The sequence below is a fragment of the Homo sapiens genome, chromosome 9 (assembly GCF_000001405.40).
Source record: "Homo sapiens chromosome 9, GRCh38.p14 Primary Assembly".
In the NCBI taxonomy this organism is placed as follows: Eukaryota; Metazoa; Chordata; class Mammalia; order Primates; family Hominidae; genus Homo; species Homo sapiens.
In genome coordinates, this window is record NC_000009.12 from 74,371,453 (window position 1) to 74,384,126 (window position 12,674).

The following is a 12,674-nucleotide window of genomic DNA, read 5'->3' on the forward strand; positions in this document are numbered from 1 at the left end:
AGTTCTGGCCAGTGTGACATAAACAGAAGTTGATGTAGGGGAATTCCAGGAAAGACCTTCCGCAATCCCATGAAAGCCATTAGAGCAGAAATTCTCTCCTGCCCTGTACTTCCTTCCCCACTTCCTACCTTTGATAGTTGGAATACTGGCAGGCATCTCACCACCAAGAGAAGACAAACTAAAGGATCAAAAGCAACGTACTGAAGATAGGAGAGCAAAAGATGAAAATAACTTGGATCGTTAGTGATCCTGAAGGGCCACCAAATAAACCTTTGGATGCTTACCTCTATACTTCCTATTGAGTGAGATACTCAAATATCTTCATTATGAAGTCACTATTAGTCATACATTGTTATTTATTTCTGATAGTATTCATAAGTGATACAGGATTCAGAAAGAAAATTTAATTGAAATTTATACAACGAATTTGGAATTTTCCTAAAGATTTGGGTTTGTGTGTGTTTTTTTTCCTTCTCATTGTATCATGAACACAAAAATAAATAATATTTTCTTTTTTGTGGTGGCTTCTGTAAAAGTTAAATCAAGTTTTTTATCTACTTGATATAAAGAGTTTTGTTACACATTTTATTTTGTTTTAGATTTGTTGTTGTTGTTGTTGTTGTTGTTTTGGTCTCATTCCTGACTTTATTTTCTTCTTCTTTGGCAAAAATTTCTCACTATTCCCAAAATTCCATAATTTTCTCATTTTTCTTATTCAGCAAAACACTTCTCTACTTCAAGTTTTATCACGGACCAGGACTGATCAACTAAATGCGAATAGATGTGTTCTATATCAGCTTCCCTAGAACACAAAGCCTGAATCAAGGATGAAAGGAAGATGCTTTTTGGCAAGGCATAAATTCAGAGGATCCAGGATGAGGACAAAGGCAAGTGAGCTATGCAAGATGTAAAATGATGTTTCAACAACACAAAGCTGATTGTTTGGCAGTTGCATCTATTTCATGCATAGAACTTCTCCAGATGGACTACCAAGAAACACTGTGCTTCAAAGAATTTGATAAGGACTATGAAAGGGTACGTATGATAAAGAAGAGAGAAACCGGGTTTCCTCCATTCTTCTATGTTGGTCCAAACTTACCCCCTGGAGAATTACCTGCACACCTAGATTGTATTTGACCCATTGGCAGGCACTCAGAGCCCCAACACCATGTGCTCTGGCATTCACCTAAGTTCAGATAGGATGACACAGCCAAACAATTTAGGTATGAAGCCTGGCTGATCAGTAGAGGCCAAGTAGAGAGCTTTCTGAGGGCAAAAGGCTGAATCTGCCCTAGGTGTCCAACTGCCAGACCTAACAGACAGGCAAAGTGAATCAAATAGCTGGAGGTCACAGAAGGGTCCAACACCCAGGGACTCCGAGGAGCTACAGAAGAGAGATGTATAATGTCTCAGCCACTTCCTTAAGGGGAAGCTGCTCGCTCCCCACACCGTAATTTGATCTTCCTACAGACTAAAATTTAAACATGGTGTGGTGCTGATCAAAGCAAAAAGAAAGAACAATGGCCTCACTGAGCAGAGCTGACCCTAGACTACCCACCTATCTCTGAACGATTACATTAGAGATAAATAATTTTCCATCTGGTGTGAGCAATTGTATAAATCAGTCTTTTAGTTTCAATGGCATCAGTTCTTTTTCTTTCTTTTTTTCTTTCACAGTATTTTAATGTATGCCATTTTCTAACATTCTATATATTCTTGTAAAAGTGCTTGACTTCTTTTTGGAAGAATATACTTTGTGCCATTTGTTTGCAACTCCAAATCCCTACCTACACCTTTCCACCTGCCTTCTTCCCCACTGGCAGATGACATTAATGGGCTCTTCCTTGCTTTCTGGCTTCGTTAGAATTAACAATGGGGATATCAGCAAGAAATCAGAGATGAGTAGAAAACAACATTACAGGATTTTTTCTGCTGGGATCCCCTGCCTCAACCTGGCTGTGTCTCTCCAATGAAGGTCACTGCTCCTCTCAAGACAGCCCTCTCAAGAAAATTTGCTCCTTCTGGGTCCTAGTAATCACTCTCTCTCTCCTCATTCCCCTGGGCCTAGAGGTGGTACCAGCTCCATGGTTACTAATCCAGTGTTACTGTACTATTTCTTGTGGTTTCTATCAAGCCCACACTTCTGTAATTGGTTCTTATGTAAATACATTTTCTTGGAATATTCTTAATTTATGCTTGACATCTGTTTTCTGTTGGGACCCTGATTGCAACAAAACAAAACATTGTGTAAGTACATAAAATTTCCAGATATCTCCCTCCCTATTCCTTCCCTTTACCATCACTGCATCTCTCATCTTTATTTGCCCTTAATGTATGTCAAGCTTTGTGGTTACTAGAAAAAGCAGCATCTAACAGAGAAGACAAACTTATGCTTTTCTGACTCTTCTCTGATTTTGTATAATTTTTCTCTTCCTCCCACATTTATTTAAAGAAGAGCCACATTCAACATCACCATAGGATCTGCAAGGGTAATGTTAGTTGGTTTCCATTACATTTCTTCATGAAAGATATTTTTCAAAAAATAATGAATGCCTATATACCAGATTTTAGTCTCTACTCTGCCTTAGCTTCTGTGTAATCCTTAAAGTTCTTTTAACCTCCTCAGGCCCCAGTTTACTTATTTGTAAAGTAAGGGAACTAAATAAAAAATACTTTCAAGTTTCTTTCAACCCAAAATATCTATAAATGTATTATTATAATTAGGTCCTGAATGATAAATTGATAGATTTAAAAGACCAGTGTTTTACACAGACTTTATAGACACAAGGTACATATGTGTGCAGGTGTATTGATATATTTTTGTTTATGAAGAAATGTGTAGGTGTGTAATACAATGTCTCTCTAATCTTGAAGTCATTATCCCAACAAACTAAGCACTCTAAAATATAGATTTTACCCAGAGAAAAGTATACAAGTGTCAAGTGTTGCAAAACCCCTGAATATCTTCCCACAGGAAGGGCATTCATTCAAAGACCATCATCAGCCTTTAATTTTCACCAAATTATACTTCTATTAATCATCCACAGACTATCTGATCTAGAGCCCAACGATTGCACAAAAGACATATAAACTTACCATACTAATTTGTAAATTAGGAGGAAAGCAAAATCAAATAAAAAATGACTCCCCCATTTTATTATTCATTCCATCAGTGAAAGTAGTGAGAAATGAAAACTGTCAGTTTTCAACTTGATATGGCACATATTAGACAATAGCCTGAGATTTAAATGAAAACTGCATATTTTGAAGTTATCAAACAAGATACTAACAAATTTCTGGTCTCTCTAAACACAACTGTACATAGTGTTAATCTCCATGTCCGTAGGCAAGACTATTTGTTTATCACTGTAAGTTTAGCATCTACTACATCAGCTGACTCACAGTAGGCATTCAGAATATATTTGTAAATTAACAAATGAATGGATGAAAGAATGTACTTCTCCCTCACAATTTAGACCATATGCAATACTGATCTGTCTAAAAACATTCTGGTAGTTTAAGTTCTAAGTCTTATAAAAATGAACATAAAATTAGTGATCTAATTTTCTAACGTAAACACTTAATTGTCCCACAAAATGTATATCCAGATGCAAGCAAGTAATTGCATATGCGAAACAATAATTTGCAAGTAAAATGACTCACTTGCATGTGTGAGGACATATTTTACAGGTGCAATTTAGGTGCAAATTTCTGAAATTTTGAACCCAGGCATTCAGCCCATCTAACAGTTTTACTGTGATGTGAAGAATAAAATAGAAAAGCTGTCTTGGTTCTGAAAGTGAGCACCTAGACTGCTATATCAAGCAGCTTAAGTCCTTAGGGTATTTGGGCAGGGGGAGTTAAAAATAATAACAAAGTTATTTCATTTGGGAATATAGTTCTTAACCCAAAAGTTACTGTAGGTTTAAATTTCAAATACATTTTCTCACCAGTTCATCCACTCTCACAGGGAATTGCCTGCAGGCAAAATCAAGAAGTAGAGGAAATTTGTCTCAGGTCTCAGGAACCCATCTGTTGTTCTTCTGTTTTCTTCTTCTTTTCCCAATATTAAGGTCATTCCTCCATATCCAAAATTTTCAATAGTTAGCTAGCGTGAGAAACCAATTCAAAGCCTTAGCACCTCATATTTCAATTATTTCTCACTCTCCTTACTAAGATCAAAATAAACTTGCTTACACATGTTAAAGAAATAATCTACTAAATCTGACATGAATAGTAGTTATTAGGTGAGCTTAGTAATAATACAGATTCCATGGCCCAGTAGAAATAATGATTCTGTAGGGCTATGATTGGGCCTAAGAATAAATATTTTAACAATTAGTCCAGGTAATTCTGATGTAGACTACCACATTTTGAGAAACATGCCTTTAAAGCTCCAGTTTTTACTTTCCAAGGTGACATGTAACTAAAAATAAGAGTTAAACTATTAAAAGTTAGTAATAGATGATAGGTTTCAGCATGAGAATTAAAAAGACCTGAGACTTAGCTGAAATCGTTGAGGCAGTCCAGCATAATGGGAGAAACTCGAATCATGAATTTAGTTGGACTTTGCTCTGAAAGTGTACTCCTCCCTTTGTGAACTATATGACAGTGGACAAGTTCCTGAACTTCTCTGAGCCTCAGTTTCCTTGAGAAAGGATTTAATTAAACCTTCGCTTCTAGGTTTGGGAGGATTGAATGGCAGTAAAGGAAAGAGCCCAGGAAGCTGAGAAGCACATGGAAGCAGATCTCTGTCTCTGGAGTTGTAAAGGAGCAGCTGAATATGTCCTGAGAGCCTGGCAGTGTCAGGAACTTGGACTCAGACTGAGAGGTTTTGCAGGGAGCCATGAAGGCAGTCTAGGTGGTGAGCTGCATTGACCAAACTCTCAGAATCAGACCTGTATAATAATATTTCAGTGGACATCAGCACTGATAGATGAAGTTACCAGGAATTAGGTTCAAATCCTAGCATTTTCTAAGACCCCTGAATGAAAATGCAAAGCATGAAATTAAAGAAGAAAAAGAGCCCCAATTTGATTAAGTGGTGTCAACTGATGAATGAAAAGGTTCATACATTTTTAAAGTGGAGCTTTATTTCTCATAAAGGATTGCAGCCTGCAGGGTGGCCATTCTGACAGGCTGGGAAACATAGCCTCCTTCCAGAAGCCAGAAACAGACATTTCGAGGGTGGGAAGAATAAGACAGAGATGTATGCGGAATGAGGTGGCTGACTATACATATTCAATAAGCTATAGGAGGAGTCATGAATATTTATGAAAGGAGAAACATGGGCAGGTGCAATTGAGTTCATGCCTCTCCATGGGACCCCATCTTCAAAAATGGCGGCATTAACATGATCTGAGAGTGAAGTTTTCAGCCCTCTGACATCAAAAGGTGAAGCAGAGGACACAAAAACCCTCACTGCTCGTTCTTCGAAGACTGGCCAGAACCACTTCGTGGTCAGTGGTTTCTTATGGAGAAGGAATGCTGATTGGTTGTGCAGAAACTGCAAAAGGGAGTGGCAGTAGTTAGGCAGTTGGGTGAAATCAGCAGTAAAATTTCTCCAAAGGGCTTGTTTCTGTTTACCCCTTAGGGAAGAAAGCCTAAGAGTGGTTAGCAAGGGAAAGGATATAATGGGACATGTACATCCTCACATCCTGTCATGGCCAGGGGCTCAGCTTCCAAGTTTTCTTTGGCATCCCCTTGGCAAAGAAATGGTCCATTCAGTTGGTTGGGGTCTTAGAATTTTATTTTTATTTCTTCATGGGTATAACTCAGTGAGCTATAGGGGATTCAAAGTAGAGAGAAATTATAATTCCTGAAAACTTAACAAAGTTTTATGTATTACCCACCTGATGAACACCTGAGCTGTTCCCCCTTTGTTTGTAATGTGCTGAACAGGATGTGCTTTACACAGAGTAATGTGTTCAAAAAGTGCTGACTTTCTCACTAGTGACCTAGGGCAAGCAGGTCAAGGAATAAAAGTGAAAAAAGAACTACGGTATCAGGCTGATCTTTCAATGCCCTGGCTGACAAGCTTGCATTAAAATAAATTATGTCATTAGGAAAAAGTAAAATGTATGATTGTGTGCTGCCTACTATGAAATTTTATAAAACATGGCCCCTGCCCTCTGAATATGAATAAGGAAGGCAGATAAGTCTAGACCTCATGGAAGCTAGCTATTGATCAAAACAGATTTCAAAGGCAAATGAGAGCTTGGAAGAAGTGACTTTTCAAAACTGGAGAACGACTAGTAGGAGACTGGCCTTGCGCAGCAGTTGATGGACCACTAACATACTTTACCTAAAGTCATCTGCCACCCACTATGAAGTAAAGCTGTGATGCAAAGCTACCATTTCCTGTCCTCTCCTAAATAGAAATAAAAGGAGATGATTTTTGAATGAATGTCCCACCTTATTAGTTGCCATCCAGTGAGCATCTACCATAAGCCTCGTCTGGCCCTGAACTAGAAACTTCATGCATCTTTCTTATTCTTTCAATGAGGCTGATGTTATTGTGCCCACTTTTTACAAAGAATCCAAGAATCAACTGAAGGAACTTGCCCAGTGCCACAGACTAAGCTGAGTTCCACTCAGCTCTATCTGACACCAAAGCCTATTAGGTGCCACTGTCTATGGCCTATGGTTTTCCATGAAGTCACTGAGCCTAAGTAAAGGTAAGAATCAAGCTCCATTCCTTCCTTTGTAGTTTCCACCTCTTTTCTTCTTCATTTATCCCAAAATAATCACACTACCATTTCTACAAAGTAATGCACCCTGGCATATCAGTTACATATCTGTTTTAAAAGAATAAAAAATTAATAAACAAAAAAAGAAAATATTAATTTCAATGCAATAGCAAATAGTTTTGTTATTGGTTGCTCTAAAATTTTCTGAAAAGTAGCCTGTGGAGAATATTCCCAATTTTACTCTCTTTAGCTTCGTTCTCTTCCAGCCTAAAATCCTCAAAAAAAAAGCTTATGTTGTATTTTTTTCCAAAAACATTTACTTTCTTACATGAAGAACACAATTTTGAATATTTGTCTCAAACTGTTGTAAATAGAAGCTTAAAAATAAAAACAGCATCTACTATACCCATAGCCTCTATAGTGTGGCACTTTCCTATAGAAAATGTGCTGAATTTCAGTCAAAACACATTTTTTTCCTTTTAGTATGTGACTTAAATTGATCTTTTCTCCTACTAGTTTTGCTGAGAGTGAGATTATAATCAAATGTTACATAGCAATAGTCAAATGTTACAGCACACCATGCCTTTCATCACTGTAGCCTATCCAAGTGTTTGTCCCGAGGTGAATCTGCCTTTTACTATTGAAAAATTGATGCCGGAGACAGTTACACATCTTGCCTGAGGCCATGCAAAGCCAACAGTAGAAATACGAAGTTAATCATGGAATCAAGTATCCCTTTTTCCCTTGTGTTTACTCTTAGATATCTCTACTCCAAAAACTTATATTTTTAAGAAAAAAATTTTTATTTAGTGCACATTTTCTAGTAAGTCCATTATTTGGTTGTAAACTTCTTGAGGGAAGGAGCAATTCTATTGATTCTTGGTATTTAGCAATGTACATCCAATGGAAATTTGTTATAATTACATAATTAATTATATGTCTTCCTTTCCTTATTTCAGAAAGTATTTAGAGGAGCTTTCCGGAGCATGTAAACTTAGGATATAAGCATATAAACTTAGGATATGCTCTTTCCAGAGCATATAAACATATACAATATAACAAATTAAAAGTGAAAGTGAAATATAATGTAAAATATTGTGTGAGATGTAGAAGCAAGATGAAAGGTAAAGCCTGGGGATGCGGCTAAAATGTGTTTACAATCTTGCAAAATGTTATACCGGCTACAAATGGCTCCCATATTTACTTCTAAACTTACTAATAGCAAGTAAGAAAAGGGGAATTAGATCAGTTATCCCATTCACAGAAACTGACTACTCAAAAAACCACCTACTGCCTAAGAGAAGGAATCTTCTTGATACAACAAGCAGATACATACCCTCCAATCTACTGTTACATATGTGTTAAGTAACTTGTAGTGATTGATTTTGTTTTGGTTTAGTTTGGCTGGTTGGTTGGTTGGTTTCCTACACATTTCTCTGCCTCTAGGAACTTGGCAACTTACTAATACATTTACTAGCTAGTAATACCCTAAGCTAAACAATGTCTCTTATTCATAAATTTGTTTAACAATATCAAATCATGTCCCTTGATGGCTGGTGAAATGCTAAAAATTGGCAGAGTGCCGTGATTACAGTCATTCCTAGGATTTGATCAATAAGAAACATTCTGATCTCTGTATTGTCTACCCATTTCTCTCTTGACCCATATAGGTTCTTAATCTTCTAGCCTTTCCTACAAAATCTGTTTCTGGAATTCCCCTGACACAGGTAGGCAGCAGCCAAGAGAGAAGGCAGTAGTGCCACCTGGTGCTCAAAGAGATCAGAGCTTGTACATACCTACTCTCCCACTTTCTGCTCCTCCCACCACTTCTAATAAGATTGCCTATAAACAGTACCCACCCCCTTCTTGGGCCTTCCACACTTAGCCCTCAGTATGCATTCTGCAATGCCTTCTCCCATTCATTCTCCCTCCCAGGCTGCCTTCGATGCTCATTTTATCAGTTTTCACTTGTAAACACATTGAATGGTGGGAGGAGAGTCACATGATGTGAGTAACCCCACAATCCTGGCTGGTACCAACTCCAGTGTTAAAATATAGATGTACCAAAGTAAAAATATTTATTGCATTTTTGGGCATTGAACATTGAAAGGATTCCAAATATCGAGGACCAGGGAGGAAATAAGCACAGATGCCGCCATTTGGTGGGTTGTTGTTGTTGTACATTTCAGAGACAAAATACAGTAAATGTTTTACAGACATAGTTGCATTACTATGCGTCCCCTGACATACTGTGCTTGTCACTTTATTATTTAGCATTTATGCGGTATTTTATCTGTCCTATATTATCTTTCACAAGCCTATCAAATAGACTATTTTTATTCCTATGCAGAACCTTGTCACAAATGACCAGACATGTTAAATTTCCCTCTCATCATACTGAAAGTTCCCAGTGAAAGCTGAAGGAAATTTCAATGCCTTGTCCTTTGCCTTCTATCAACTGATTCATGAAATGACCACTAAAGTCCTAATAATGTATGAGGAAAGGAAATAGATATAAAAATATAGGTCTGTATTCATGGAGCTTTCTACTCTGATGGCCTGGGGATTCCTGAGCATCAAACGAAAATTTGTATCACAATGTGAGTGTCCTAGCTAGGTTAATAGACTAGAATTAAGTTATGCACCATAGAGTATAATCATTTGTTGTGTTTGTACTAAACTCCTGAGTATGGCACAAGAGAGAGGGAGAGAAAACAGAAAGAAACAGTTTAAATGTGCAGCTAATTCCCCACACTGTTCCTTTCAGTGAGCATACACCCTACCGCATGCGTGTGACAGAAGATGGCGGTCAGTGGTTCTCAGCCTTAGCTCCTCATGCATGTACCTCTCAGTGTGGAGCACTGAGTACGTGTCTAGTTTTAAAGACACTATGTGTCTTTATTATATATAACCACGAAACATAAACTACACATAATCCAACTGCTTTACGTGTGCTTAATTCATGAAAGCGCAAACTGGTCCCAATATCTGAGGGAAGCATGCTCTATGTAGGACTCACGGAGCAATAGTATGTCAGTCTCAATGTGGCATCAATGTAGACTTAACATGTTCTATTTGATGGGCTATTTAAGGTATTTTCAAGGGTGATATAACTATTTGTGATTTCCACTTTATGCCTTAATTTCAGACCCTGACACCCAAGGAGATGTAACTCAAATGTTAAAGTTGATCTGGGGGAAGGAGGAAGGAGTGTGACTTCTTGCTTACATGTGTCAGGGAAGGTCTGACAAAGGAGATGGCCTTTAAGTTGAGTCTTAAAGAATGACTGGGATTTGTCTAGGCTAGTTGGGAGGACAGAGTACTCCAAGCAGAGGAAACAGCAATCTGCAGAGGCAGAACTCTCTAAGTGATGGCATTTTCTAAGTATTCTAAATAATTTGATATGGTCAAAGGTTAAGGTACATGAGATGCTGAAACTCTATTTTTTATTTATTGGGACATCAAAGATAATTGTTAAACAGAAAAGTAGCATGATAACTGTGTCCCAAAAAGGGGCCGTCTGATGTCTGTGTAAAGACAGCATTTGAAGTGACCAAAGAAGGAGCAGAGATAAGTTTGGAAATTATTGCCTAGGTTCATGTGAGAAACAATAACAGATTAAACTAAGACACTGGCAACAGCAGGGAGTGGAATGTACAGTTTTTAAAGAATATTGGAGTCAGAAATGACAGAATTTGGTGACAGATTGGATGCAGGAGATGGCATTTTTCCAAATTCAAAGATATCTAAAAAGTTGATTTAGTCAAGCCATGAAGAAGTAAAGCAGCTACATATTTATAAATTTGCTCCAACTCATGAGAGGGGTGTGGGAGTTAGAAATGTACCCAAAAGCAAATCACCAATTAAGGATCCTAGGGAGAATAACCTTCATTGATTTTACAGAGAACCTTTCCCAGAAACAGCCATACCAAAATTGCTTCTCCATTAATTATAAAACAATAATTCTTAAAAGCCTTGCCTATGATATCAGTCAAGGTCCAAAATACAAAATTATATATGAGAAACCATACCATATTTTGGAATTTAATGTATGGAAAAACGGTCTCTACTAAGAAAATTGTCTTAATAAAAGACTGCATAAAAGATATATCTCTCTTTTTTCCTAGGCTTACTAGGAAGCTCAAAATTAAATTTAAAATCAGTCTTAGGGCCATGTGTGGTGGCTCGCACCCGTAATCCCAGCAGTTTGGCAGGCCAAAGCAGGAGGATCGTTTGAGCCCAGGAGTTTGAGACCGGCCCTAGCAATATAGCGAGACCCTGTCTCTGAAAAAAATTTTAAAAACTAGCTGGGCCTGGTGGTATGCACCTGTAGTCCTGGCTATTCAGAAGGCTCAGGTGGGAGGATCATGAGCCAAGGGGCCAAGGTTGCAATGAGCTATGATTGTGCCATTGTACAATCTGCCCAGGCAACAGAGCAAGACCCTGTCTCTAAATAAATAAATAGATAATAAAATCAGTCTTGATGAGATGGTTAATTATATGTGTCAATTTGATTAGGCCATGGTAGCCAGATACTGGATCAAACATTATTCTAGACGTTTCTGTGAAGATTTTTTTAGGTGCAGTGAACATTTAAAGCAGTAAACTTTGAATAAATAAAACAAATGAAACAAATTATTCTCCACAATGTGGGTTGGCTTCATCCAATCAGTGAAATACCTTAATATAAAAAGACTGATCTTTCTCAAGAAAAAGAGAATTCTGCCAGCAGGCTGCATTTGAATCTGAATTGTGAGTCTGGGTCCCCAGCCTCCCAACTACCCTGCAGATATGTGTATTAAGAAATATATATATATACCGAGAGAGCAACATATATATAGAAACATATGTATACAGCATATATGTACAAATATATCTATTTAGCAGATATATAAATATATATACAGCAGATATATATAAATATAAATATCTACTATTGGTTCTGTTTCTCTGGAGAACCATGGCTAATAGACTCAGCAATTATACTGGTCCTGACAATTTCTTTTCCTTCTTTTGCAAAATCTTAATTTTTTGTTTGTTTTTATGCTTGTTATATATATCTTATTGTAAATACATCATGTTTGGGGGATGTCTTTCAAAATTAGAAAATGTGTTTTGAAATTTAAACACACTAAAATCAGACAGACTCTGCTACGTACTTTTATTTTTCACGTCAATTCTTAAACAACACTGTATGATAAATGATATAGTCCTTCAATAAAGAGGAGAAAATTGAGCCTTAGGAAATTTACATGACATTTTTAACTTCCAAACCCTGCAGATAACAGAGCTGTGATGGAACTCGAGATCTAAGTGATTCTAAGTGACCCCCCAACACACAATGAAGCCTCTGCAAAGAAAAGCTTAAATTAAAATAGAACACAAACTCTGAAGGCCTTTGCTAGACTTATTTTAAGCGTAACCTCTTGTGATTCAATTTACCTTTTTGCTTGGAAATGACAACTTCTAAATGAAGTATTCTTTCTTACAAAGGACAGGAATCCATCACACAACAAGTTAGGCCAAAAGAAGACAGTGGCTCTTTCTTGAATCCTCAGGATCGAAATCAAAGTTTCTGGGCCTCAGAAACTACAGGAAGCAGAAACTCAAATACTTCCCAGTCTTTTCCCCACACCCATATCTTTTTCCCCTCCTCTAAAAGTGGACTTACTTCTTCTCTCCCTCTTCAGACAAGGTTGCTGGGTTTCCTGGGCTACATGGCTGAAAATAGCCAATGACAAGAGCACCTGGGTTTATATTCCATGAGTTTCAAGAGACAGGTAAAATATATATATTTTTTTTCTGAAATCAACTTTCAAGGAAAGACATTGATTAGTCCAAGTTGGATCAGGTATCTACACCTAGTAAAATTAGTGGAATCAGAGGCTTTGGGTATGGAGTAGATAGCATGTGTCATGTGATGAGCAGAATTACCAAAAGTGATCCTGAGAGCTCCTTTATAATTGCCTGAACAATGAACCGGCT

The 12,674-nt window shown here is 37.4% G+C and overlaps 1 long non-coding RNA gene across 1 annotated transcript; it reads left to right on the top strand.

The window, feature by feature from the left end:
- The first annotated feature begins 78 nt into the window (after positions 1-78).
- LOC101927358 (uncharacterized) lies at positions 79-12,078 on the top strand. The gene is made up of 3 exons (NR_121182.1): positions 79-302; positions 720-1,035; positions 11,971-12,078. It is a non-coding gene; the product is annotated as an uncharacterized LOC101927358 (long non-coding RNA).
- The last annotated feature ends 596 nt before the right edge of the window (positions 12,079-12,674 follow it).